Below are 26,933 nucleotides of genomic sequence, written 5' to 3'. Positions count from 1 at the left end.
GGAAAAGTGATGTCAGGTTATTTATTCCTCCTAATCTCCCTCTTTGAGCTTGTTTGGGGATGGCTGAGTTTCCTTACTGAAGATCCTTTTTCCTCTCAAGGCATCTTCATTATAGCCCTCTCCTTCCAGTTTCTGGTAACACTCCTGATTCTTATCAGTTAAGAGTGGCCACAGTTACCTGTTACTAGCCTTGAGGCACTACATTATAATATGTAGTTTCCCTACATCCTATCCACACAGTTCCATTATAAACTCTCCTTGAATTATCCTAATTGGGTTGTGTCATGTTTTAACACTTTGACAGATACACTGTGTGATTTGGGGCAAATCACTTTATAGGGGCAAATTACCTCAAATGTAGTATAAGAAGTTTCAAGCAGATAATAATATCCCTTCCTATTCTAAATTTTCTTGGCAATGTAGGGACTGCAAAATAAATCTCTTTTTTGGGGGAACTTTGAGTCACATTGAAGATATAACCTATTTACCTACTAAATGCAGAATGGAACTAAGTATCTAAGTGATTAGGATGCATAATAAGTGCTCTAAGAATTCAGAAATGGGCAACGTCATTGTGAACTAAATAGTCAGAGGAAACATATGGATCTGTCAATAAATTTCACCCCAACACAAGAGAGTCATTTCTTAGTGGATTTTCTAATCTAGATCCAGGATGACTATTGTATTCAAAGATGTACCAAAGTGGATGGCCTGTTTTGGAGCTATTCCAAAGAGCACACAGAGTATTTGCCAGTCTGGGACAAGGTTTCCTGAAAATGACTTACCCTTGAGACTGAGCTCAGCCACATCCCACAGTAAAATACAAAACTTCTGGGAGGTCTTGAAACACTCTTTTTAAAAAGTACAGAAAGAGCAGGGGATTCGGTGTTGAGAGGCTGGAATTCTAATCTCACCTGTCATTTAATTAGCTATACCTTGAATTTTTTAATCTAAAAATAATCTATGTCTTTGGTTTTACAATAGCATCCCCTTTTCCATAGGGGATACATTCCAAGATCCCCAGTGGATGCTTGAAATTATGAATAGTACCAAACCCTACATATAGTATGTTTTTTCCTATACCTACATCCCTGTGATAAAGTTTAATTTATAAATGAGACACAATAAGAAATTAACAACTAATAATAAAATGGAACAATTATAACAATATACCAGCATCATTATTCATGAGCTTTCAGGCCATTATCGCATAAAATAAGAGTTATTTAAACACAAGCCCAGTGACACCTTGACAGTTGATCTGATAACTGAGATGGTTTCTAAATGACTAAGGAGTGGGTAGTGTAGACTGTGTGAATACACTGGACAAAGGGATGACTCATGTCCCTGGCAGGACAGCAGGAGATTTCATCATGCTACTCAGAATGGTGCACAATTTAAAACTTATAAGTTGTTTATTTCTGGAATTTTCCATTTAACATTTTTGGGCTGTGATTGAGCATGGGTAACTGAAATTGCGGAAGGCAAAACTGCAAATAAGGGTTAAGTACTGTATTTGTAACAGGCTACTTATGCTTTTTTATTTGATTCAGAGATATTAGAGACACACAAATATAATAATCACCCTCCTATTCATCATACAGGTAAAGAAATAAAATATTCGCAGTACAATTAAAGACCACAGTAGAAGTGTCTTTCTTAATTAGTTACTTCTCTTTTTCCATCAAAAATAATGCCTACTCCACCAGCCTGACCAACATGGAGAAACCCTGTCTCTACTAAAAATGCAAAATTAGCCGAGCATGGTGGTGCATACCTATAATCCCAGCTACTGGTGAGGCGGAGGTTGCGGTGAGCCGAGATCGCGCCATTGCACTCCAGCCTGGGCAACAAGAGCGAAACTCCATCTCAAAAAAATAATAATAAATAATTAAAAAAAAAAAATGCCTACTCCCTCTCTTCCCCCATCCCAATCAAGAGCTAAGGCCAAGACAGACAAGTTGCTTTGAAAACTTCTTTTGGGGTATGGAAGCCTCAGTTTCACTGGGCTATAGTATAGTACAGCATGTGGGTCTTAGCTTTATGTGAATACTGCTTGGTTAGGCCCAGACCTTTCTACTGTGTATCTAAAAAAACTCAAAAGTCCTAGATTTTTGTATCAGTAAATATCATCAGAACCTCCAAGGCTTCAGGTCTGGCTTACCCACCTGGATTCTGTCTGCTCCTTGGTTTGGTTTTGACCCTTGAAAATTGCCCTTATGTTCTTACCAGCTCAGCGGTGCATTTTAAAAAATAAATATTTGAAAAACATATTTGTATCTTATGGGAGAATTTTTTTTTAAACTCTAGTTTGTCATATTTTAAGGTGCAGAATATAGGTGATTTTTATTGTACTGAGAATCAAAGCCTACTCACACTGGGAGATTAAAAGCCCTTCTTTCACCTCATAAGTGTGATGACCATTGCCTAAACTAGTAATAATAATAGAAACACTTTTATGACCAAGAAGCTAATCCAGTTAACCCATATCTCCTGTAATTCAAGCACATTGACTGTTAGAAACAAATAATGGAAAAGTGGAATAACAGTCTCTTTGGCAGGATTGGCCAGAAGTTTTCATTTAAAGTTCCTAAAGGCAAGGACCATTTTTTTGAAAACATTCACAAATTTATTGGGTTTGAGTTTATTGGGGCCAGAAGTAGTCATATTTATTTTTACATCTATCATAGTGTTTAGCAAATTTCCTGTTGCATTGCAGGTGTTCAATGCATGTTTGCTCATTTGATTTGAAATGACTCTTCCAAGTTCAGTGCAGAAACAAAATGGTTCTAATATTTCTTCTTGATTTGCCTGGTCTGACACTGCAATTGAGCCAGCTCGCAGCCATCCTTTCTTTGTGTTGTACAAAATTTATGACTTTCATGATCTAATCTTGGCATCATTCACTTGCAAAGTATTTGTTTGGTTTGTAGAAAAATAAGTAACTTGTAAGTAGGCAATTTAAAAAAAAATTATTTGCAATCTTCTGTGAACTGGTGGTAACTCTCAAGTTAAACATATAATTCTAGTAAGTGTAATACAATAAATGGCAGAGTTTATTATTATTCTTTGTTTTGTTTTGATCTCAACTTAGGATCATTAGAAAATTACTGGTTGTCATGTCGTTACTTCTTTTTTCCTTAAGAGACCAAACATGAGTAGGAATATAGAATGCAAATTTGACCACAATTTAAATCCAGTCTAAACAATTCCTACCAGAAGACAGTACAAATAGTTGAATTAAAGAAAGGCTTTACAGTTTTCCTTAAGAAGTAAAGCACTGTTAGAGATGTGTTTGTGTCTGTGTATACTCTAAATTGTATGTCACCAAGTCCAGACAATATCAAGTCCTTTTAGCATTAGGGGGTTCTTTGAGGTAAGATCTTGAGTGACTACAGATAAGAAGTAGAGGCTGACACAATAAAAGATAATGTAATAAAGATGTGAGACATTAAGGCTGAAACAAGAAATGCCTGTTTTCTGAGGCGGAGGGGTGCAGACTGAAAACAGTATGTGATTAGAAGGTCATTATCAAGGGCGAGTGGCAAAGGAGCACATTGCCACTGTAATTTCCCACTAACAGCTCTCATGTCCTTGACTTCTTTTAAGTTAGGTACACAACTCTGAGAAAAGACAGGAAGAAATAATGAAGTAAAGGTAAAGAAAGGGTGTAAGTCACCTCCTAATAAATGAGACTACTGAATTTCTGAGAATTTATTATAAAAGATATAGGAAGAGTTTCATTTCGGTATAATTAATAAAAGAGATAACTCGAAACACATACTTATAAAGGAATTGTTAAAGTATTTATTAGCATATACGGCACAATGCAATCATTTAAACAATGTTTGAAGACTATGTAATACTACGGAAAAACATTGATGTTGTAACCCAATGCATTTGGTATATATTTTTTTCCTAAAGAGACCAAACATGAGTAAGAATATAGAGTATAAATTTGACCACGATTTGAATCCAGTCTAAACAGTTCCTATCAGAAGACAATATAAACAGTTCAGTGTATTAAAAAGGCCTAAAAAAATTCCTTAAGAAGTAAAACAATTGTTAGAAATGTGATTGTGTCTGTGTGTGCTCTAAATGGTGCAGCTATACATACATACAGATAGATAGATATGGATATATATGGATACATATATATATATGGATACATATATATGGATACATATATATGGAGATATATATATGGATACATATATATGGAGATATATATATGGATACATATATATGGAGATATATATATGGATACATATATATGGAGATATATATATGGATATCAATATGGACATATATATATCCATGATCAATACTCTATATGACCAAAACTATTATAAAAATATTATAAATTATAAATTATAAAATTATAAAATATAAAATTATAAAAATATTATTTGGAGTAAGGAGTTTGGGAATGTTTGCATGCCATGTAAGATTTATAAGACCAAATATCATGTAGCATGAAGGTGATACTATTCAGAATCATCTTATGATGGGCTCAACTTGGTACCTACATTCTAGTTTTTAGAAACCAGTTTGTTTGTTTGTGCCAGTTTTATAAACATTTCTTATTATCCCAGCTCTGCTGTGAGATTGGAGAGCAAAAGGAAATATATTCTCTACATATCCAGATCTCAAATCCCAAGGCTAGAGGAAGAGAAAGGGAGACTGGAAGGAAGAGCAAAGAAATAATCCCCAACCCTCAAACACTCCCTTGATAAAGAAAAGATCCAGCTATTGGCAAGAAGTGGTGTTTGGTGAGGGCATCATAGAATCAAAGGCTGGTATTTCAAGGAGATGTTATTTCTGTAGCACAAACATGATTAAGGGTAATGTTGTGTTATTTCAGATTTTCTTTATTCATAAAAGGAAAAGAAATAGTGCCAGACATACAAGAACAAAGGTAAATAGGCTTCAGAGGCCTTCTTGGTTCTCAAATCTAAGAGAATTTAATAATTAGACTGTTTATTTGCCAGGTTTTGTATTTGTTTTCTTCTTAGAGGGAAAACACAATCGAGTCATTGTCTTTCAGAATAGTTGGTTTTAGTGATATGGACTTGTTTTTATCTAATCTGCCCTCCCCCATTTGCCCAGGCTATGTGTTCTGTCTTCCCACATAAGAGCTGCTCCTGTGGTTACATATACTCAAGACTGCCCCAAACTGCAGGGTCTGCCACCACCAGGAGGCTCCAGTGGAGAAATCGGGGGAGAAGGTGGCATAAAAAAGATATCAACGTCTTATACAATTAGCTGCTACAGAGGAATAGGGAAGATGTGGCTGACTGTGTGGCAACCACATTTCCTTTCCCAACTTTCTTTTCTTATGCTGCACGTTACCTCTATATGGCACTGACTTTTGTTTGCTTCTCTTTCAACCGCTGCTGTTGATGCTCAGTTTTAGGTCCTTGTCACAAGGATAAAACTGCTGGGAAAAAAGGTGGCCATAAAGTGAGGTGCCCTACACTTGAGCCTCCTTCAGATGGCCTGGGTAGAAGGACAGCTGTCAGTGCTGAGCCTGGATATCAGAACATACAGTAATAGTAAGAATCTGAAACGGCACATGTGTAAGGAGCAGAGCCTTCCAGAATTGGCAGGGCTTGGCATTGCGACATCCGGTACAGGAAATTCACGGTCCAGGGAATCATAAAAGGAGCTGGGGGGCGGGGGACGGGCACAGCGGCTCACACCTGTAATCCCAGCACTTTGGGAGGTTGAAGTGGGCAGATCACGAGGTCAGGAGATCAAGACCATACCGGCCAACATGGTGAAACCCCATCTCTACTAAAAATACAAAAAAAAAATTAGCCAGGCGTGGGGGCGCACGCCTGTAGTCCCAGCTACTCAGGAGGCTGAGGCAGGAGAATTGCTTGAACCCAGGAGGCGGAGGCTGCAGTGAGCCGAGATCACGCCACTGTACTCCAGCCTGGGCAACAGAGTGAGACTCCGTCTCAAAAAAAAAAAAAAAAGATAAATAAAAGGAGGGGGGCTTTAGAAGACATTAATCTATCTAAAGTACCCCAGAGGCTGTGGCAGTATTTTCTTTGAGTTAGTTCTGAGAGCTTATGACAACCATGTTGTTTGTAATCTCTCAGTATAATTCTTATTAATTCTTTCATTCATTCATTCATTTGGTGAAAACCTACTCTGTGCCAGGCACTTAGTTCTCAGTGTTAATAATGTAGAAATTGTAATTCATGGTGATAATAAAAGTTAATACTTCTTGAATATTGTCTGCATAATTTGTGTTTACTGCTTATCACTTATTTTATAATCTTTATAAGTAGTGATATCAGTCCTATTTATAGATGAGGATGTTGAGGTTTAGTGAAATGAAAATATATTATTTCATGCAACAAATATTTAGGGAACATCTTTCATGTACTAGTGGCAGTGCCTTTTGTTGAGGGCACAATAGCGAACAAGACAGATTCTATACTAATTCTCATGGAATTTAAATGCTAGTGGGGAGAGATAGACAACAAGCAAATATGCAACTAAATAAAATGAAACTTGAAGCTAGTGATAAACTCTATGAAGAAAATATCACTAGATCATGTGATACAGACTAACAGGCAGCAGGGGAGGGTTGGATGAGTTAGATACTTTAGATACGAGGTTTATTTAAGAAGATGACATTTAAACTGAGACTTGAATGAAAAGGTGCTAGCCATGCACACAATGAGGGGCAGAGTATCGCAGGCAGTGGGATTACCAAGTGCAGGGGCTAAGCTGAAATGAGCTTAGTATATTTGATAAGCTCAAAAAAGCCTGCTGTGGCTGGAGCCCAGCCAGCAAAGGGAGAGTGATCCATTTTGTGACCTTAGCACCCTGGGCTTAAGGCTGCTCAAGGCTCCCGATAATCCAGTTTCTCCAGCTTCATAGGTCATCTTTGGGGGCAGTGAATAGGAAAAGAACTAGACAGTTTCCTGTACAAAACAGATTTTTTAATGTTTTCTTGTAAATAAAGCATATCTTTCCCTTAGGTCAAGACTGTCTTGTCCTCCTTGGGCTGTTCAGGCTCTTGGAGGCTAAGGCAAAATAATGACACAAGCAACTGGGTTCACTTCTGGTTCTCTCCCAAGTTGTTTGCCAACAGACATGTCCTTTTTGGATTCTTCTCTGTGTTCTGCTAAAATAGCCAAGGCAATAGTGTTAATAAAATCTGCTCTTTTTCTTCCTCATCTTTGCCACATCTCTGTTATGGACACTTTCCTCCCCCATCTTTCTTATTATTTAGTCATCCTTGATTCATCCTTCTCCCTGACTCACTACATTTGGAAGGGTGATCGTTACAAATGTAGAAATATATACATTTGAAAATGCAGCTTGGTGGCCTCAAGGGTAAGAGGAATTAGGCTTACTTATGCGACACCGTATTCTTATGGCCACAGACTTGTGTTTGACTTCTTAATAAAGATGTGCGGATTGACTTCCAGAGTTCTTCTTATGAGTATTAATAACTAAATAACCTCAGACAGTTTATTAAAATAAAATTAATCACAAAACTTATTAATAAATGTTCTGTCAACCTTTTTGTTTTAAAAAAAAGTTTAGTTCAGATTTTTTTATATGTGACAGGAAAGTATTCAACCAACAACACAGGTGTTGTGACATCTCCCAAAACTTAGAATGTCCTCATATAATCACAACTCAGATCAGATAAGCAGAAGTATGTGTGTCAACATGTATGTGTGTTTGTGTATATGCATATGTGTGTATGTGTCAGAAAAGAGACTGAGAGTGGAAGCACAGGAAACTCAGGGCTCAGGAAAGAAGGCAATGTAATGAGTAGTTGATGAGCAAGAAGATGTCTGTATTACCTTAATACCTCACATTCAAAGTGTGGGCCTTGAAAGAGCAGCATTGGTAATACCTGGGTCTCTTATAATTCTTTTTCTGGAAGCCCTGCTGATAATCTTTAAAAATAAATTCATATGAGAAAGAGACTTAATAGTTTCACCATGGATGGCAATGGGAGCAAGCTCTTTTTTTCTGCCTCTTGATCTGAATAATCTGAATATTGATGCTGTTAAATGATTCGTTGTCAGCTCATCTACTGGTTTAAAGAAATGACCCAGCAAGTTGATTAAAATTGTGATGAATACTGAACTTCTCTACTCCTCAGAGTCATCAGTAAAATAGGACTTCTCAAATTTAGCATCTTGAATATTGGATCAAAAGACTTAAATAAGGAAACCAACTTTCTTTACATGAGCTCACTGTAAGATGTACTGAGGAGGAGGCTTTACACAATATGAAAGATACAGATTTGCCCAAAGAGAAATCACAGCATGACTATCTTGATGCTTTCTTTAGAAAAGGATTAAACTTAGTGTTCCGTGAGCTATTTTGGGTTTAATATTAAAAAATGTATTTCCTATTCATTTATTATGTCAAGTGAAATACACATATTAAGTTACAGGTCTGTGGTTTTCAATGATCTGTTCAATTCTAGAAGTCTTGTAGATTGTGATACATATTGTGTGTTGTCTTTAATGACATAAAATCTCTTGGATTGTTCATAAAGACTCAATCACGAGCTGGAAGATTGAGGCAAAATTATGTGCCAGGAAAAAGAAGTGATCCTTTCTGCTCAATGGCTGGTCTTTGTCTCCAAAAGTCCAAATAACTGATAAGTTTAATCAACACAGTAAGCAAAAATTAAGATTAATTGTTAGCTGTCAGGTAAGAATCAAATGAGTAAATTTTGAAATTTTTTTTTCTTGTCATGTTGATCATCATGTATTCACAATTTGAACTATCTTCCAAATCAAGTAGAAGTATTTTGAGATTTAATATTATTTTCATAATCTGTGTATTTTATCTCCTCAGTTACATACCAAGAGTAGATTTCATTTTTTCTAAGTACTATCAGGAATGAACCACTGCCTATCCAGTTACATAGAGGACCATGTACTGAAGTCAATAGTCCCACATAACATCAGCCAGATTTGAAACCTCTCAAGGCCAGAGTCCACACAAAGGGCCATGCTTAGGGATTTGATATAAGGCAACAGGGAATGGTGCTAGCTTAGAACTCTTAAGACAGTGGTATGAAAAAAATACTGGCAGGCAGGCAGACTCAGCAGATGACCAGGCTCCAGCTACCAGTCTAGCATTTAGTGACAGGGTGGTAGAGGGCTATAAAAGCAAATAGTTCCTTTAGGCGAGTTGAATGCTAAATACATTACCAAGTCAAAAGTCTTGTTAATGAAAATGAGACAAAAAGCAAAAGGAACTTTTTAACAAATGCCAATGTATTGGGCTGGAAAATAATTATATATCTTTTACCTAAGATTAAATCCATTCTAGAGGCTGAGGCAGGGTAATGACCATAGAGGAGGGTTGAATGATCGCAGCTGAGATGAAGGGAAAGCTACAGAGGATTGAATCAAAGCAGTACCTGAAAGCTATTTCAGTGGCCCCCACAGGAAGCCAGACCACTGTCAATGGAATGGAAGAGAACAAAACAGATCTGAGAGAGGATTTGGAGAGAGAGGATTTATGCCTCTACACAGTATTTACCATGACACAGTACAACTTCAAGACTGATTGAGTGTAAGGTTTGAAGGGCAAGCAAGAGTTGAAGATTAACCCAAGGATGAGATAGAAGGATGATGAGATAAGGAAATGTAACAGTGGACAAACAAGAAGGAGCAGATTTAAAGGGGAAGATACTAAAGTCTGTTTGGGACATGTAAGCTTATAGTAACCATGGAACAATAAAATTTAGTTGTCAGATAGGCACACAGGGGCTCTAAAATGCAGGTCAAATTAGATGGTATCAATATTTGATGCATCTATATAAAGGCAAAAGAGACTAAAGAAATGGATGATATCACCCAAGGAAAAAGTATGAAGCAAGTTGAGGTCTGCAATACAGCTTTGGGTGAAGGGAAATGAAGGTGTTAACCTTCATTTGGGAGTTGGAAGGACAGGAGGCAGTAAAGGACAATCACAGAAAGAGAAGAAAATCTAGGAAAGATCCATGTCTCAAAAACCAAAGGAGGAAAATATTTCGAGAAGGAAGCATAGCTGTATCAAATGTTCCAGAAAGGCTGTGCAGGATTCACGTATTTGCTTATTTAATAGAATAAACTTATGTCTACCAAGCTTTGTGCTGAGACTTAAGAATGAAGTCAAGACAGTGACCGGTCAATTTTATTTAGTAGTCATCAATGGCATTTTGCTGGGGTTTTATATGAGTTGCAACAGTGATAACCTTATTACAGTGGGTTAAAGATGGAACCAAAGTTGGGGAAGAGAGAGGCAGATTAAGTAGACTAATCTGAGAATTTGAATGGAAATGGTAAACAAAACAAAACAAAACAAAACAAACAAATAAAAAATTGGACCAATGATTGCCTAATTGGTAAAAAATGTTATTAGTGGATGTAGTTCTCTCACTTTTGAAGCATATCTCATGTGAACAATGGACCCATTGACTTGAATCAAATATTTTTATATTAATACAGCTAGATGCAGCAGTGGGAACAGGGAATTATAAGGCATAGGTTCTTTTTTCTCTTTTAGGGAAGCTTATAATCTAGCTTAAAATCAAGTGTGTGTACATGAGAGACTGCAGGTATACAGCAAGATATAAAGACAGAAAAACAATTTAGTGAACATAACAAGTGTTCGTAATAACATCCAACAATAATTATTACTTGATAGGAGGAGGGGTAGACGATATGAATGTGAATTCAGGAGAAAGACAACTATGGGTAAAAGGCTTTGGTACAAAGGAGGAAATACATGTTGGTTACAGAAGAGACTAAGATAAAAACTTTCATATGGCAAGACAAAAGGGTAAGCTTCACTCCAGAATTCCATCTCTTCCCATGGGAAGTAGAAATATTGCCACTTGCCTTTCTTCTATCCTAGAAAAAGACCTCAAACAACAAAGCTACCCTTATATATCTTCATCCAGCAGCCTCTTTTTGGTTCATAGGTGGAAGGTATGTTTGCTTCCCAACAACCATAGTGTTGGTCCTATTATCATAAAAGGTATGGAGGTATTATATATGTAGAAAGCCTATTGCCAGAAAGCATTGAGCCAAAGAACAGAAATAGAACAGGCAAGGACAAGAAAACATGATGTACTAACACATAGTGTTGTCAAAAGCAAGCTCAGTGCTCTGCCAAAACAAGGAGAGAAGCAGTTCTTATCTTAACTGAGTCAAAGCCTGAATTCCAAGGTCAGGATATGGATACTGGAATTGAACATTCACAGCATGTCAAACCTCAGCACACTGGGGCCTTCTTGGTCTGAAGGGTCACAGATGAAATTGACTTGATACATTTTCTTTGATGTTTATTAAACCTATAATTTTGTAGAATTTGAAATGGGATTATGGCTAAACTGAGAGACCAACCGGAAGTTCATTCCAAAAACTTCTATAAATAATACTGGAAAGATATTAAATGGAGAAAGATTCATACTTACTATATATCATATACAAGTTTTATTAATATAGCAGAATATAAATCTTTAGACACTGCTCAAAGCAATAAAGGATGAAGCAGTTTTTATTGTTCCATATTTATAAAATCTTAGACAGATGGTAGTAAATATTCTTATTTTTTACTAATATTTACAAACCTAAATTCTGCAACTTAAATCATTTCCTTCCTTGCCCTTCTTCCTTATGTGCTTGCATAGCTATCCTAATGTGCATTTGTGTAGGTGATTTTTTTTTTAATTCTCAGGTGAATAGATGTTTGTGCCGAGTTATACCATAAGAAAATAAAATAAGGAATTGTAAGTATTATAGTACTTTTATAGGACTTTCATTAACATGGTTCCACATGGTTCCACTTGTTCCTTATAAGAGTCCTGCAAAGTAGGTGTGAAAGGTATTTTAATTAACCAAATTAGAAAACTGGAGCTAGAAGGTTTGATGATCCTCGAGTATTAAACAGTGAGTTACTGACTGACTGTAAATTTGAGCCTATTTTTCCAAAAATTCTTTCAATGATGCTTTCAGTGCACTCCATTGCTTAATGTATTTTAATCTAAAGGCCAATTTATATGAGTCATTTGCTTGGAAGAGCCAACTTGGAAGTTAATGCATTTTGATACCTGACTCTATGCACCACTTTTCTTTATTGAGCAACCATATATTGTCTTTGATTTTTAAAAAGAAAAGTTAAATTATCAAGATGTTTTATTTAGGCTTATAGAATAGCTATTTATACCCAAAGGACTATAAATCATGCTGCTATAAAGACACATGCACACGTATGTTTATTGCGGCACTATTCACAATAGCAAAGACTTGGAACCAACCCAAATGTCCAACAATGATAGACTGGATTAAGAAAATGTGGCACATATACACCATGGAATACTATGCAGCCATAAAAAATGATGAGTTCATATCCTTTGTAGGGACATGGATGAAATTGGAAACCATCATTCTCAGTAAACTATCGCAAGAACAAAAAACCAAACACCGCATATTCTCACTCATAGGTGGGAATTGAACAATGAGATCACATGGACACAGGAAGGGGAATATCACACTCTGGGGACTGTGGTGGGGTCGGGGGAGTGGGGAGGGATAGCATTGGGAGATATACCTAATGCTAGATGACACATTAGTGGGTGCAGCGCACCAGCATGGCACATGTATACATATGTAACTAACCTGCACAATGTGCACATGTACCCTAAAACTTAGAGTATAATAAAAAAAAAAAAAAACAACAAATAAGTCAATCTGGGTAAATGGCATATGGGTATTCTTAGTGTTATTTTGTACTTTTCTGTATGCTTACAATTATTTCCAAATAATTAAAAGCCTTTAAATAGAAAAAAAAAAAAAGAGTTCCTCTTTTCTAATCTTGTTTTTAGTTTTAAAAGAACCCCTAAAGTGATATTGAAAATTCTTATAGAAATGCATTTTATATCATATCCACAAAGTAAACCTTTTTAGTAAAGCCAAAGGTAGAGAGTCTAGCTACTAGGCCGAAGGTTGGCATAAGATAGAATTCTGAGAATGATTCAACTAACCCAAAGAAGGAAGAAAAAGAGAAAAACAGGAATGCAGGACAGATGCGACAAAGTAAATATAAATGGTGTATTTACCTAACCATAGCAGTGAATACTTAGATGTTAATGGATTACAATTGAATTCAAAAGCAGACATTGTCAGACTGGATATAAAACTAAGTGCCAACAAGTTGTTTTCTACAAGAAACTCATTTTATATCTAAACACAAATAAGTTAAAAGTAAAAATACAAAAATGATATGATATTAAATATTAATATCCAGGACAAGGGCTACTACTAATGATAAAAAGAAACTTTTCATATTAAAGAGATTAACATATTAAAAGACACAACAATTATAGTACTTATAAACAATAAGAGAGCTTCAAAATATATAAAGCAAAAAGTGATGGAACAGAGAATAAAGAATAAATTCACAATTTTGTTAGACATTTTAAAATTCCTTTCTCAATAATTAATAAAACAGATAGAAAATTAATAGAGATATGGAAGACTTGCACATTATCAACCAGGTTAACCTAATTAACATTTACATAGTACTTTGTGCAATAACAGTAGAATAAAATTATTTTAAAGCACACATGAAAAATTTACCAAATAAAATAAAATAAATATCAATAAATTTGTAAGAATTAAAATTATTGAGAGCATGTTCTCTGACAAAAATGAAGTAAATTTAAAAGAATAACAAAAAGCTGCCTAAGAAATCTATAAATATTTGGAAAATAACACATTTATAAATTACTTAGAGGTTAAAGAATAAATCAGAGGGAAAATTATAAAATAATTTTAATTGAATGAAAATGAAAATATAACACTGTAGAATTTCTGAGATGTAGCTAAAGCAGTACTTAGAGAAAAAGCTATCATTAAATGTTTATTTTAGAAAAGAATAAGGTATAAAAATTAGTGATCTAAATTTCAGCCTTAAAAAGCTAAAAAAAAGGAACAAATTAAACCAAAAGCAATTTGAAATAAGAAAATTATATATGAAAAGTAGACATCAATAAGGAAAATACATAGCAGAAAAAACAATGACACAAAAACTGGTTCTTAGGAAATGTCAATAAAATTTAGCATCTCTACTTGCATTCATCAAGAAAATGAAAGAAAGAAAAATATTAACCAACATCAGGAATGAAGGAGGGGCATCACCAGATCCTACAGGCATTAAAAGTGTAATAAGAATATTATGAACAACTTTGTACCAATAAACTCTACAGCTCAGAAAGTAAATGTACAGATTTTTTTGAAAGGCAACTATTACCAAAAGTTAGTTAAGTAAATAGCCTCATTTTAATTTAGAAATTGAATTTATGGTTTAAAAGATTCTCACAAAAGAACTCCAAGACTAGATGGCTTCAACAGTTTATTTAATTCAAAATTTAAGAGGAAAATAATGCATGTCTTACACAAACTCTTTTAGAAAATCAAGAGTCTCGTTATAATAGAATGAGAAAACCAGAAAGCAAGATCACTGGGAGCCATCTGAAAGGCTGCCTATCATAATAGTTAAGACAGTGTGGTGCTGGCATATAGAGAAATCGGGAAACTAATTAGATATTCCAGAGCTAGGCCCATACACATATGGTCAATTAATTTCAGCAAATATGCCAAGGTAATTTAGTGGAAGAAAAGACAGTTTTTTCAACAAGTAGTGTTTGAACAACTGGATGTTCTTTTAACTTTTGACTCTTATATCGTGTCATCCATAGTAACTAACTCAAAATGGTTTGTGGACCCAGATATAAATGCCAAAACTATAAAACTTCCAGAAGAAAACATTTTTAAACTTTTGCAACTTTGGGATAGGCAAATACTTTTTAGAGCACCAAAAGAGGAAACCAAAGAATAAAAAACAAATGCATTGAATTTCATAAAAAATAAAACTTTTGCTGTTTAAAAGACAACATTAAGTACATGGAAGAAAGTCACACACTGAAAGAAACAAAATACTTGTTTCCAGAAGAGCTCTCAGAACTAAATAATTAGAAGCTAACCAAGTTTTAAAATGAGTTAAAGACTGGAATGAACACTTCAAAAAAAAGTGTCAAATAAGCACACTATATTCTTTTTTATTTTTTTTTTAGCTTTTTAAAATTTTCATGTGTACATAATAGGTATGTAGATTTATGGGGTACATGAGATGTTTTGATACACACATGCAATGTGAAATAAGCACAACATAGAGAATGAGGTATCCTTCCCCTCGAACAGTTATCCTTTGAGTTACAAACAATCCAATTATATTCTTTAAGTTATTTTAAAATGGACCATTAAGTTATTATTTGACTATAGTCAACCTATTGTGCTATCAAATAGTGGGTCTTACTCATTCTTTAACTAGTTTTTTTGTACCCATTAACCATCTCCACCTCCTCTGAAGCCCCTCATTATTCTTCCCAGCTTCTGGTAACCATCTTCTACTCTCTATCTCTGTGAGTTCAATTGTGTTGATTTTTAGATCTCATATACAAGTAAGAACATGCAGTGTTTGTCTTTCTGTGCCCAGCTTATTTCATGCAACATAATAATCTCCAATTTAATCTATGTAGTTGCAAATGACTGGATCTTATTCTTCTATGTGGCTGAATAGTACTCCATTCTGTATATGTACCATATTTTCTTTATCCATTCATCTGTTGATGGACACATAGGTTGCTTCCAAATCTTAGGTATTGTAAACAGTGCTGCAACAAACATAGGAATTCAGCTAACTCTTCAGTATACTGATTTTCTTTTTTTGGGTATATACCCAGCAGTGGGATGGCTAGATCATATGGTAGCTCTATTTCTAGGTTTTTGAGGAACCTCCAAACTGTTCTCCATAGTGGTTGCACTAATTTACATTCCCACCAACAGTGTGTAAGCGTTTCCTTTTCTCCACATTCTCTCCAGCATATATTATTGGCTCTCTTTGTATATAAGCCATTTTAACTGGAGTGAGATGATATTTCATTGTAGTTTTGATTTGCATTTCTCTGATAATCAATGATATTGTGCATCTGTTCACATGCCTGTTTGTCTTTGTATGCCTTCTTTTGAGAAGTGTCTATTCAGCTCTTTTGTCCATTTTTAATTGGATTATTAGCTTTATTCCTATACAGCTGTTTGAGCTCCTTATATATTCTGGTTATCAATCTCTTATCAGGGGAGTAGCTTGCAAATATTTGTTCCCATTCTGTATCTCTTCAGTTTGTTGATTGCTGTTTTTGCTGTGCAGAATCTTTTTAATTTGATGCGATCCCATATGTCCATGTTTGCTTTGGTTGCTTGTGCTTCTTGGGTATTGATCAAGAAATGTTTGCCCACACCATGGTCCTGGAAAGTTTCTCCAACGTTTTCTTGTAGTAGTCTCATAGTTTTAGGTCTTAGATTTAAGTCTTTAATACAATTTTGATTTTTTTTTGTATATGGTAATAGACAGGGTCTAGTTTCATTTTTCTGCATATGGATAGCCAGTTTTCCCAGAACTATTTATGGAAGATACTATCTTTTCCCCAGTGTATGCTCATGGCACCTTTATCTAAACTGAGTTTAATGTGGGAGTGTGGAGTTGTTTCTGGGTTCTCTATTTTGTTCTATTGGTCTATGTGTCTGTTTTTATGTCAGTACCATGCTGTTTTGGTTACTGTAGCTTTGTAGTATAATTTAAAGTCAGGTATTGTGATTCCTTCAGTTTTGTAATTTTTGCTTGAGATTGCTTTGGCTATTCTAGGTCTTTTGTGGTTCCATATACATTTTAGGATTGTTTTTTCTATTTCTGTGAAGAATGTCATTAGTATTTTGATAGGGATCACATTTAATCTGTAGATTGCTTTTGGTAATATGGGTATTTTCACAATAGTGATTCTTCCAATCAATGAGCATGGAATATATTTCCATTTTTTAGTGTCCTCTTCAATTTCTTTCATCAGTTTATAGTTTTCCTTATAGAGATCTTTCACTTCTTTGGTTAAGCTAATTCCTAGGTATTTAATTTTATGTGTGGCTATTGTAAATGGGATTACTTTATTTCTTTTCCCATTGTTCACTGTTGGCATGTAGAAATGCTACTTTTTTTTTGTATGTTGATTTTATATCCTGCAACTTTACTAAATTTGTTTATAAGTTCTAATAGTTGTTCTCTGAAGCCTAGATTTTTGAAATATTAGTTTATATCATCTGTGGACAAGGATAATTTGGCTTCCTTTTCAATTTGGATGCTCTTTAAGTCTTTCTCTTGTCTGATTGCTCTAGCTAGGGCTTCCAGTAGTATGTTGAATAACAGAGGTGAGAGCAGGCATCCTTGTTGTGTTCTAGATTTTAGAGTTTTTCTCCGTTCAGTATAATACTAGCTGTGGGTCTGTCATATATGGCTATTATGTTGAGGTAGATTCCTTCTATCCCCAGTTTTTGGGGATTTTTATCATAAAGAGATGTTGGATATTATGTTTTTTTCAGCATCAATTGAAATGATCATATAGTTTTTATTCTTCATTCTGTTGATATGACGTACCATGTTGGTTGATTTGCATATGTTGAACTATACTTCATCTCAGGGATAAATCCCTCTTGGTCATTATGTTAGTCTTTTCTCACATTGCTATAGAGAACTACTTGAGACTGGGTAACTTATAAAGAAAAGAAATTTAATTGACTCACAGTTCCACAGGCTGTACAGGAAGCATGGCTTGGAGGCCTCAGGAAACTTACAATCATTGCAGAAGGTGAAGGGAAAGCAAGCAGATTTTACCATGGCAGAGCATGGGAGAGGAAACAGGAAAGTTCTACACACCTTCAAACAACCAGATCTCATGAGGACTCACTCACTATCACAAAAACAGCCAGGGGGAAATCCATCCCCATGATTTAATATCTCCCACCAGGTCTCTTCCCCATCACTGGGGGTTACATTTCAACATAAGATTTGGATGGGGACACAAAACCAAACCATATTATACTGCTTCTGATCCCTCTCAAATCTCATGTTCTTCTCACATTTCAAAACACAGACGTGCCTTCCTAACAGTCCTCCAATGTTTTAACTCATTCCAGCATTAACTCAAAAGTCCAAGTCCAAAGTCACATCTGAGACAAGGTAAATCCCTTCCATCAATGATCCTGTAATATGAAAAACAAGTCAGTTACTTCCAAGATGCAATAGGCATTGGATAAATCCTCCCATTCCAAAAGGGAGAAATTGACCAAAACAAAGGGGTTACAGGACCCATGCAAGTCAAAAACCCAGCAGGGTAGACATTATATCTTAAAGCTCTGAAATAATCCCCGTTGACTCTATGTGTCACATTCAGGCCGCACTGATGCAAAGGATGGGCTCCCAAGGCATTGGTAGTTCCACATCTGTGACTCTGCAGAGTACAGCCCCCATGGCTGCTTTCACAAGCTGGTATTGAGTGACTGTGGCTTTTCCAGGCACACATTGCAAGCTATCAGTGGATCTACCATTCTGGGGGCTGGAGGATTGTGTCTCTCTTCTCACAGCTCCACTAGGCAGTGCCCCAGTGGGGACTCTGTGTCGTGGCTCCAACCCCACATTTCCTCTCTGCACTGCCCTCATACAGATTATCCTGTACTAGGAGAGCTCTACCCCTGCAGAAGACTTCTGCCTGTACATCCAAGTGTTTTCATACATCCTCTGAAATCTAGGCAGAGGCTTCCAAACCTCAACTCTCGCCTCCTGTGCACCTGAAGGCCCTAAACCATGTGGAAGCCACCAAGGCTTGGGGCTTGCACCCTCTGAAGAAATGTCCCAAGCTGTACCTAGGCCCCTTGTAACCATGGCTAGAGCTGGGGCAGCTGGAATGCAGTGCTCCAGGTCCCAATACTACACAGAGCAGCAAGGCCCTGTGCCTGGCCCAGGAAACCATGCTTCCCTCACAGGCCTCCAGGCCTGTGATAGGAGGGGCTGCCACAAAGGTCTCTGAAATGCCCTAGCAATATTTTCCCCATTGCCTTGGCTATTAGCATTTGGCTCTTCTTATGCAAATTTCTGCAGCCTTGAATTCTTCCCCAAAAAATGGGTTTTCCTTTTCTACTGCATGGTAGGGCTGCAAATTTTCCAAACTTTTATGATCTGCATTCCTTTTAAATGTAAGTTCTAGTTTCAGGTCACTTCTTTGTCTATGCAAATGATTGTAGGCTTTTAGAAGCAGCAAGGCCACATCTGGAGTGCTTTGCTGCTTAGAAATTTCTTCAGCCAGATATTTTAAATCGTCTTTCTCAAGTTCAAAGTTCCACAGATCTCTAGAGCAGGAGCACAAATGCTTCCAGTCGTCTCTTTGCTGAAGCATAGCAAGTGCGAGCTTTGCTCCAGTTTTCAATAAGTTCCTCATCTCCATCTGAGACCACCTCAGCTTTGACTTCACTGTCCATATCACTATCAGCATTTTGATCACAACCATTCAACACATCTCTAGAAAGTTCCAAACTTTCTCTCATTTTCCTGTCTTCTTCTGATGCCTCCAAACTGTTCTAAACTCAGCCCATTACCCAGTTCTAAGGTGGCTTCCACATTTTCAGGTATCTTTATAGCAATGCCCTACTTCTCTGGTACTAATTTTCTGTATTAGTCCATTCTCACATTGCTATAAAAAACTACCTGAGACTGGGTAATTTATGAAGAAAAGAGGTTTAATTGACTCACAGTTCCACATGCTGTAAATGAAGCATGGCTGAGAGGCCTCAGGAAACTTACAATCATTGTGGAGGGTGAAGGGGAATCAAGCATGTCTTACCATGGTGGAGCAGGAGAAAGAGAGAGAGAGAGAGAAGGGGGAAGTGCTACACACTTTTAAACAACCAGATCCGTTGAGAACTTGCACACTACCATGAGAACAGCAAGGGGGAAATCTACCACCATAATCTAATCACCTCCCACCAAGTTCCTCCCCTAACATTGGGAATTAAAATTTGTCATAAGATTTGGGTGGGGACACAGCCAAACCATTTCAGTCACGGTGAATGATCTTTCTAATCTATTGTTGAATTCAGTCTCCTAGTATTTTGCTGAGGATTTTTGCATCAATATTCATCAGAGATATTGGCCTGTACTTGTGTTTTTTGTTTTGTTTTGTGGTTTTTTTTTTTTCTTTGATGGGCCTTTGTCTGATTTTAGTATCAGGGTATGCTGGCCTCATAGAATGAGTTTGGAAATTTTCCCTCCTTCTCTATTTTTAGAATAGTTTGAATCAGATTGGTATTTGTTATTCTTTAAATATTTGGTAGAATTCAGCAGTGAAACCATCAGGTCCCAAGCTTTTCTTTAGTGGGAGACATTTTATTACAGCTTCAATCTCATTACTTGTTACTGGTCTGTTCAGGTTTTGGATTTCTTTTGGTTCAGTCTTGCTAGGTTGAATGTATCTAGGAATTTGTCCACTTCATCTATATTTTCCAATTTATTGGCATATAGTTGCTCATAGTAGCTGCTAATGAGCCTTTGAATTTCTGCAGTATCAATTATAATGTTTCCTTTGTTATTTCTAATTTTATTTAGATAGTCTCTCCTTTTTTCATTGTTGGCTAAAGGTTTTTCAATTTTGTTTAACTTTTCAAAAATCAACTTTTTGTTTCATTGATATTTTGTATTGTTTTTTCATTTCAATTTCATTTATTTCTGCTCCGATATTTATTATTTCTTCTACTAATTATGGGTTTTGTTTTTTCATACTTTTCTAGTTCTTTAAGATTATTAGATTATTCATTTGAAGTTTTTCCTTGTTTTGATGTAGGCACTTATAGCTATAAATTTCCATCTTAGTACTAATTTTGCTGTATCCCATAGGTTTTGGTATATTGTGTTTCCATTATCATTTGTTTCAACAAATTTTTCAATTTCCTTTCTAACCTGTTCATTGATACACTTATCATTCAGAAGCATATTCTTAAATTTCTGTGTATTTGTATAGTTTCCCAAATTCATCTTGTTGTTAAAATTGAGTTTTATTCCAATGTGGTCAGAGAAGATGCTTGATATTATTTAAATTGTTTTGAACATTTTAAGATTTGTTTCATGACCTAATATATGATATATTCTTGATAATATATCCATGTGCTGAGGAAAAGAACATGTATTCTGCAGCTCATGGATAAAATTTTCTGTAAATATTAGATCCATTTGGTCTATGATGCAGATGAAGTCCAACAAGTTTCCTTGTTGATTTTCTGTCTGGAAGATCTGTCCAATGCTGAAAGTGTGGTGTTAAAGTCTTCAGCTATTACTGTATTGGGGCCTATATCTTTCTTTAGCTCTGATAATATTACCTGCTTATATCTAGGTTATCCACTGTTGGGTGCATATATAGTTAAAATTGTTATATACTTTATATACTCTTGTGAAATTAATACTTTTATCATTATATAGTGACCTTCTTTGTCTCTTCTTTTAGTTTTTGTCTTGAAGTCCATTTTGTCTAATATAAGTATAGCTATTCCTGTTCTTTTTTTTGTTTCCATTGGCATGGAATATCTTTCTCCATCCCTGTATTTTCAGTCTGTGTGGACTTTATGGGTAAAGTGTGTTTCTTGTAGGCAACAGATCAACAGATCTTGTTTTTCCATTCATTTAACCAATCTGTCTGTTGACTGCAGAATTTACTCTATTTACATTCAATGTTATTATTGATTAGTAAGAACTTACTACTGCCATTTTATTATTTGCTTTCTGATTGTTTTATGGTCTTCTTTACTTTCCTTTTTCTTTCTGTCTTCCTGTAGTGAAGGTGATTTTTTTCTGATGATATGTTTTAGTTTATCTTGCTTTTTACTTTTTATGTATTCATTGTATTTATTTTTTATGTATTCATTTTTCTGGTTTCAGGTTACCATGAGGCTTACCAATGCTATCTTATAAACATTATTTTAACCTGATAACAACTTAATACAATTTACATAAACAAACAAGCAGAAAGAAAACTAATAAAAACTCTATTTTAACTTTGTCTCCCTGCTTTTTAACTTTTTGTTGTTTCTATTTATATTTTATTATACTGTCTATGTCTTGAAACATTGTTGTAGTTATTATTTTTCATTGGTTCATCATTTAGTTTTTTTACTTAGGATAAGAGTAGTTTACACACCACAGTGACAGTTTTATAATATTCTGTGTTTTTCTGCCATGTTTACTATTACGAGTGAGGTGTTTTTGTTTTTTTTCTTTTTTTGATGGATTCTCACTCTGTCACCCAGACTGGAGTGTAGTGGTGCGATCTCGGCTCACTGCAAGCTCTGCCTCCTGGGTTCACACCATCCTTCTGCCTCAGCATCCTAAGTAGCTGGGACTACAGGTGTCCACCACCATGCCCGGCTAATTTTTTTTTCTTTTTTTGTATTTTTAGTAGAGACGGGGTTTCACCATGTTAGCCAGGATGGTCTCGATCTCCTGACCTTGTGATCCACCCACCTCAGCCTCCCAAAGTGCTGGGATTACAGGCATGAGCCACCGTGCCCAGCCACCAGTGAGTTTTGTACCTTCAGGTGATGATTTATTGCTCATTAATGTCCTTTTCTTTCTGTTTGAAGGACTTTTTAATATTTCTTCTAGGGTGGGTCTGGCGTGAATTAAATTTCACCTTTTGTTTGTTTGGGAAAGTCTCCATTTCTGCTTCATGTTTGAAGGATATATTTTGCCAGATATACTATTCTAGGGTAAAAGCTTTTCTCTTCAGCACTTTAAATATGTTATGCCACTTTCTCCTGGCCCATGAAGTTTCCACTAAAAAGTCTGCTGCCAGACATATTGGAGCTGCATTTCATGTTATTTATTTTTTTTCTTGGTACTTTTAGGATCCCTTCTTCATCCATGAGCTTTGGAAACTGATGACTAAATGCCTTGAGGTAGTCCTCTTTGGGTTAAGTCTGCTTAGTTTTTTATAACCGTCTTGTATTTGGATGTTGATATCTTTCTCTAAGTTTGGAAAGTTCTCTGTTATTTTCCCTTTGAATCAACTTTCTACCCCTATGACTTTTTCCACTTTCTCTTCAAGGTCAACAAATCTTAGATTTGCCCTTTTGGTGCTATTTTCTAGATTCTGTCTAAGTGCTTCATTGTTTTTATTCTTATTTTTCTCCTCTGGCTGTACACTTTCAAGTAGCTTGTCTTCAAACTCACTAGTTATTTATTCTGCTTGATTAATTCTTTTATTAAAGGATCCCGATGCATTCTTTAGTATACCAGTTGCATTTTTCAGCTTCAGAATTTCAGCTGGATTCTTTTTAATTATTTCAATGTCTTTGTTGAATTTATCTGATAGAATTCTGAATTTCGTCTCTGTGTTATCTCAAATTTATTTGAGTTTCCTCAACACAGCTATTTTGAATTTTCTATCTGAAAGGCCACATATCTCTGTTTCTCCAGGATTAGTCCCTGGTGCCTCATTTAGTTAATTTGGTGAGGTCAAGTTTTCCTGGATGATGTTGATGCTAGCAGATATTTTTTAGAGTCTAAGCATTAAGCAGTTAGGTATTTATTGTAGTCTTCACTATCTGGGCTTATTTGTAGCTATCTTTTTTGGGAAGGTTTTCCAGATACTCGAAAGGACTTGGGTATTGTGATCTAAGTGGTATCTGCTTTAGGGAGCACCCCAAGCCTAGTAACACTGTGATTCCTGCAGACTTGTAGAGGCATCACCTTTATTGTCTTGGTTCAGATCCAGGATAATTCTCTGGATTACCAGGCAGAGACTCTTGTTCTCTTCTCTTACTTTATCCCAAATATACAGAGTCTCTCTCTCTCTTTCTCTCTCTCTCTCCCTCTCTCTCTGTTCTGAGCCACCTAAAGCTGGGGGTGAAGTGACAGAATCACCCCTGTGGCAACCACAATTATGACTGTGCTAGGTCAGACCTGAAGTCAGAAAAGCACTGGCTGTAACCACTCCTTGGCTATGTTCACTCAATGCCCTGGGGCTGTACAATCAGCAGGTGGCAAAGCTAGCCAGGCTTGTGTCCTTCCCTTCAGAGCAGACAGGTACCCCAGGCCTTGGGTAGGTCCAGAAGTGCTGTCCAAGAGTCAGAGACTAGAATCAAAAACCTTATAGGTCTACCTTCTGTTTTACTGTGTTGCAGCTGAGCCGGCACTCAAACTACAAAATGCAGTCCTTGCCACTCTTCCCTCTCTTTCCAAAGGCAGAGGAACCTCATCCATAGCCACCACCACCACCCCAGGCCACGAGGAGTACTGCCACACTATTGCTGGTGTTCCCTTAAGGCCTATGTTCCCTTAAGTCAGCTTGTGGTAGATGCTGCCTGGCCTGGGACTCACCCTTCAGGGAAATGGTCTCCCGTTTGATCCAGGGCATGTCCATAAATGCTGTTCAAGAGTCAAGTCCTGAAATCGAGGACCCCAAGAACCCACTTGGTGCTCTACCCCACTGTGGCTCTGCTGGCACCTAAGGTGCAAGACAAAATCCCCTTTGCTTTTCTCAAGAGTAAGGAATTTTGCCCAGTAGCCACCACAGGTGGTAATGTGCTGAGACTCACCTGAAGCCAGCAAGTCTTAGAGGCTCACCCAAAGCCCTTGATGTAGTACCCGGATATCACTGCTGTTTACTTGGGGCCCAAGGACTCTTCATTTAGCAGGTGATGAATGCCGGCAGAACTACATCTCTTTCTTCAAGGCAGCAGGTTCCCTTCTGGCCCAGGTGTGTCTAGAAATGTCATCTGGGAGCTAGAGCTGAAATGGGGACCTCATGACTCTGACTGGTGTCCTATCCTGCTGTGGCTGAGTTGGTATCCAAGATGAAAGACAAACTCCTCTCAACTCTTCCCTTTCCTCAAGACAAAGGAAGGGGTCTCTTTTGGAGCCTCAAGCTGTGCAGCCTGAGGTTAGGGGAGGGGTGATAACAGTACTCTTTTTGCTTCCTTGGATGATGTTTCTGTGTATCATGTTCCACCTCAGTCCACTGTCCCTGGGCTGAATTCAGCTATAGGACTTGCCTGAATTGCAGTCCTTATGGTCTAGACTGCCTTTTAAGTTTACTTGGAGGCTCAGAGTGCTGTAGCCCTCAGTTGTGAGGTTTGCAGGCAGTCAAGTTTGGACCACTGGGATCTGCAATTCTCCCTCTGGCTAGGGCTATTTTAAATGCTCCCTTAGGAAGCGAGCATCAGCTGATTTTTGTCCAATTTTCATTTCTGCTGTAACAGGACAACATGGAGTTCAATGCCTCACAATTGCTGTGTTCTTCCTCCCCCAGTACCCAGAGTTATTCTCTGTACCAGGCCACTGCCGCCAGGGTAGGGAAGAGTGGCGTCAGCCATTCAGCACTGCTTTTTCTATCTCTTCAGAGCCTCTCTCAGCAATATGAAGTTAAAACCCAGTGCTATGAGTGGTCATCTGATTTTTGTTCCTTATGAAGGTGTTTTTGTTTTTTTTTCTGTGTAGATAGTTATTAACTACTTGGTGTCCTTGCACGGAGGACGATTGGTGGAGCCTTCTATTCCACCCTCTTGCTCTTGCTCTGCCTGTCTCTCAGAAAGATTCTTAACATCTTTATTTGTCAGATATTAGAAAATTAAAACCACTATGAGATACCAGTGTACAACCACTCAAATGACTAATACTAAAAAGACTGACATTACCAAGCATTGGTACCATGTGGAGTAACTGGAACTCTGATATATTGCTTGAGGAAATATAAAATGAGACAATCTTTTTGAGAAATTTGTCAATTTCTTAAAAGGTAAAACAAATACCATTTACCCTAGCAATTCTACTCCTTGGAGTTATGCAATAATAATGAAAGAGAAATGTTTCCAGAAAAAATATTCAGCAATGAACAGTTTTGTTCAGAATTGTCAGCAATGGAAACCACCCAAATGCTCAAAAACAAATGAATGGTTAAATTAATTGTGATGTATGCAAATGATGGAATACTGTTGGAATATGATTTAGCAATAAAAAGAAAAAAAACTACTGATACATACAACAATATAGGATGAATCTCAAAATATATCATCTAAGGAAAAGAAGCCAGACTGAAGAAAGTACATATTGTATATTTCTTTTATATGGAATTATAGAGAAGTCAAAACTAACTTAGAGTGATATATAGCAGATTAGTGGTTGCCTGGATCTTGGGGTGGATAGGAGGAATTTGCTACAAAGGGTCACAAGGGATGACCTTTGTGGTGGAAATGTGCTGTATCTTGATTGTGGTGGCAATTGCTTGGATGCATACATTTTTCAAACTCACAGAATTGTATACTTAAAATGAATACATTTTACTGTCTGTACATTATTCCTCAATAATAATTTAAAAAGGAACATGTCAATGTAAAAAATTCTAGTTAACTGAAAGTTACCATATAAAATATATATGATGTGTATATTTTTAGAAATTTAGAAAATTTAAAAGAAACACAAATTCATCACAAAAATTATACTGACCATGGTTTCCTTTTCTATGGGAGATCTTCTTTCACTTCCTGAAGTTTCTGATGGTCACTGTTACCAACATCAACAGCAGATATGGTGTTGACTGACAGAATCCCCATATGCATGACTATTTTGAGTACTGAAAGTACACGGGAGCCTTTAGCTACAGTTGGTTATCTTTGCCTATATGCACAGAGGCTCTTCTCATGTTGGGATATTTGACTTCTGTTGCAAAGAACACAGTACAGCTTATCTTGTCCTTTGTAAGTTAACATCTGTTGCTCAAAAATTCAGCTATGTCTTCTTATGCATCTGTGTTGGTATCTGGAGGAAGGAGGTATTCTGCTTAATTACTCTCACACTGCTAAATCTTACTTCCCAGTAGGGATTTGGAAAGCAAGGAAGTAGTAAAGACTGGTATTCATTTTGTGGTCTTTTCTGATGCCAGTATCTTGTAACATGGGGAGAAGCACTGAGGGCTGAAGTTTTTCAGTACGTTTTATTTCACAGAGATGCTCTATATCTCAAAT

The 26,933-nt window shown here is 36.5% G+C and overlaps 1 protein-coding gene and 1 long non-coding RNA gene across 2 annotated transcripts in view; one reads left to right on the top strand and one right to left on the bottom strand.

Annotated features, from left to right (window-relative positions):
• The window catches only part of PLCXD3 (phosphatidylinositol specific phospholipase C X domain containing 3), a 203,650-nt gene that overhangs the window by 94,479 nt on the left and 82,238 nt on the right, over nt 1–26,933 (top strand). The window lies entirely within an intron of this gene.
• On the bottom strand, nt 6,938–26,503 carry LOC105374740 (uncharacterized). Its single transcript, XR_925950.3, has 2 exons — nt 26,416–26,503; nt 6,938–7,144 (listed from the first exon to the last, which is right to left on the bottom strand). It is a non-coding gene; the product is annotated as an uncharacterized LOC105374740 (long non-coding RNA).

Source organism: Homo sapiens, chromosome 5 (genome assembly GCF_000001405.40).
Source record: "Homo sapiens chromosome 5, GRCh38.p14 Primary Assembly".
NCBI classification, from domain to species: Eukaryota; Metazoa; Chordata; class Mammalia; order Primates; family Hominidae; genus Homo; species Homo sapiens.
The sequence above is the reverse complement of the archived record's forward strand: the minus strand, read 5'-3'. Positions and strand labels throughout refer to the sequence as shown.